This window comes from Homo sapiens, chromosome 11, assembly GCF_000001405.40.
Source record: "Homo sapiens chromosome 11, GRCh38.p14 Primary Assembly".
In the NCBI taxonomy this organism is placed as follows: Eukaryota; Metazoa; Chordata; class Mammalia; order Primates; family Hominidae; genus Homo; species Homo sapiens.
Window position 1 is genome coordinate 23,543,308 of NC_000011.10, and position 1,566 is coordinate 23,544,873.

Genomic DNA, 1,566 nt, shown 5'->3' on the forward strand with positions numbered 1-1,566 from the left:
TTAATGCTTCTTAAGTAAGTGTTTAACCCTTACTTGTTAGGGGCTTTAGCCACGTTTTTAATTTTAGCTATAATCTTTGAAAGTTATGTATCATTGCATCAACTTTAGAACCAAAACAGATTCAGAAAACTTAAATAGCTAGGTAAAATCCATACAGGTTATAATGAGTAGAGCTAATTTTTAGGTCCAATTCATCTGTACCCAGAACTCTTCCAAGTGTGATCTTCCACACGCTTTTTTTCTTCTCTCTTGTTGCCGATAAACAACATATCTTTGGAAGATGAAAGAAACACTTCAGGGAAGAAACCTAGATTTTTAAAACATGCTGGATAAAGAGTTCCCACTGCTTAGGAATGCATAATCCTGACTTTACATGAATAAAAAGATAAACTTCTATTATATTAAGCTATTGAGATTTAGAGGTCTATCTCTTCCAGCCTCTAGTGTTATCTTAAGTAAAACAACTGCTTTGCATTGTGCTCTAATTGTTTTCAATTTGTGACCTGAGCTAGAGTGTAACATTGTGAGGAAAGAATCCTTATTTTAATGTAGGTTTCCTTGTATTGTCTTGGGGAGAGATGGAGAACCAGTTCAATCTCCTGAGCCAGTGCAAATGGTTTGATAGTGACTCCTCAGAGTACTGGGTGGAAAAGGATTCTGAGGCTGCATCTTTCTGGCCTAGTATATCTGTTACGTAAATCGAGGAAGTAGGACACAGTTACACAAAGATTTATTCCCTTGGTTTCCTGGAGATCCTGACAGGGTGGGGCTTAGGTATTATTAGTTCTGGTAGATTCCATAGATCTTTGCTACTTCTCAGTATGGTAGGCATTGAGAATGGCCCACCAGCGTGAGTTCTTTTGTGTAAATCATACCTAAGGAGTGGGCTTCAGATCTGTGAATAGTGGCAGAGAACTCTAACAGGTTAACACAAATGAGAGATTTCCAGTTTCCTGCAAAATATAAGGAGCTTGGATGTCACCACTCTCATTCTCACAAAAATAAAAAATCTGAACAAATTGAAAGACAACAGTTCTTCTTAGATCAATTAGAGGATTGAGGTCACAAGGTAAACTGCCCCTAAATTTAGAGAGACAGGCAAAAACAGAAAATCTTACTGTATTTGTTCAATTATTCTGTAAATCCAAAACTGCCCTAAAAATAGTCTATTAAATAAATAAATAAATAAGAAAATAAACATGAGGCTAAATAAGTTTCCCAGCCTTCTCCCTTATAAATGCAAGATCTATAATTCAAAACCTGTACATTTTCATTCAGGGTTGTTTATTATAAAGCAATGTTGCTCATATAGGATAAGACAAAACATGAGGTGCAATATTATCTTAATATTATTGGCACAGATGAGAGGTATACAAAGGAGAAAAGAAAGCAGATAATGATAACAGTTAACATTTTTGATATTTTCAATGTTCCAGGCACTGTCCTAATCATTCTTCCTGGATTGCCTCAGTTAATTACCTCAGTTAATCTTCACAACAACCTTAGACGGTATGTGCTATTACCATGCCTATTTTATACATGAGAAAACCACAATTAAGAAAGCTC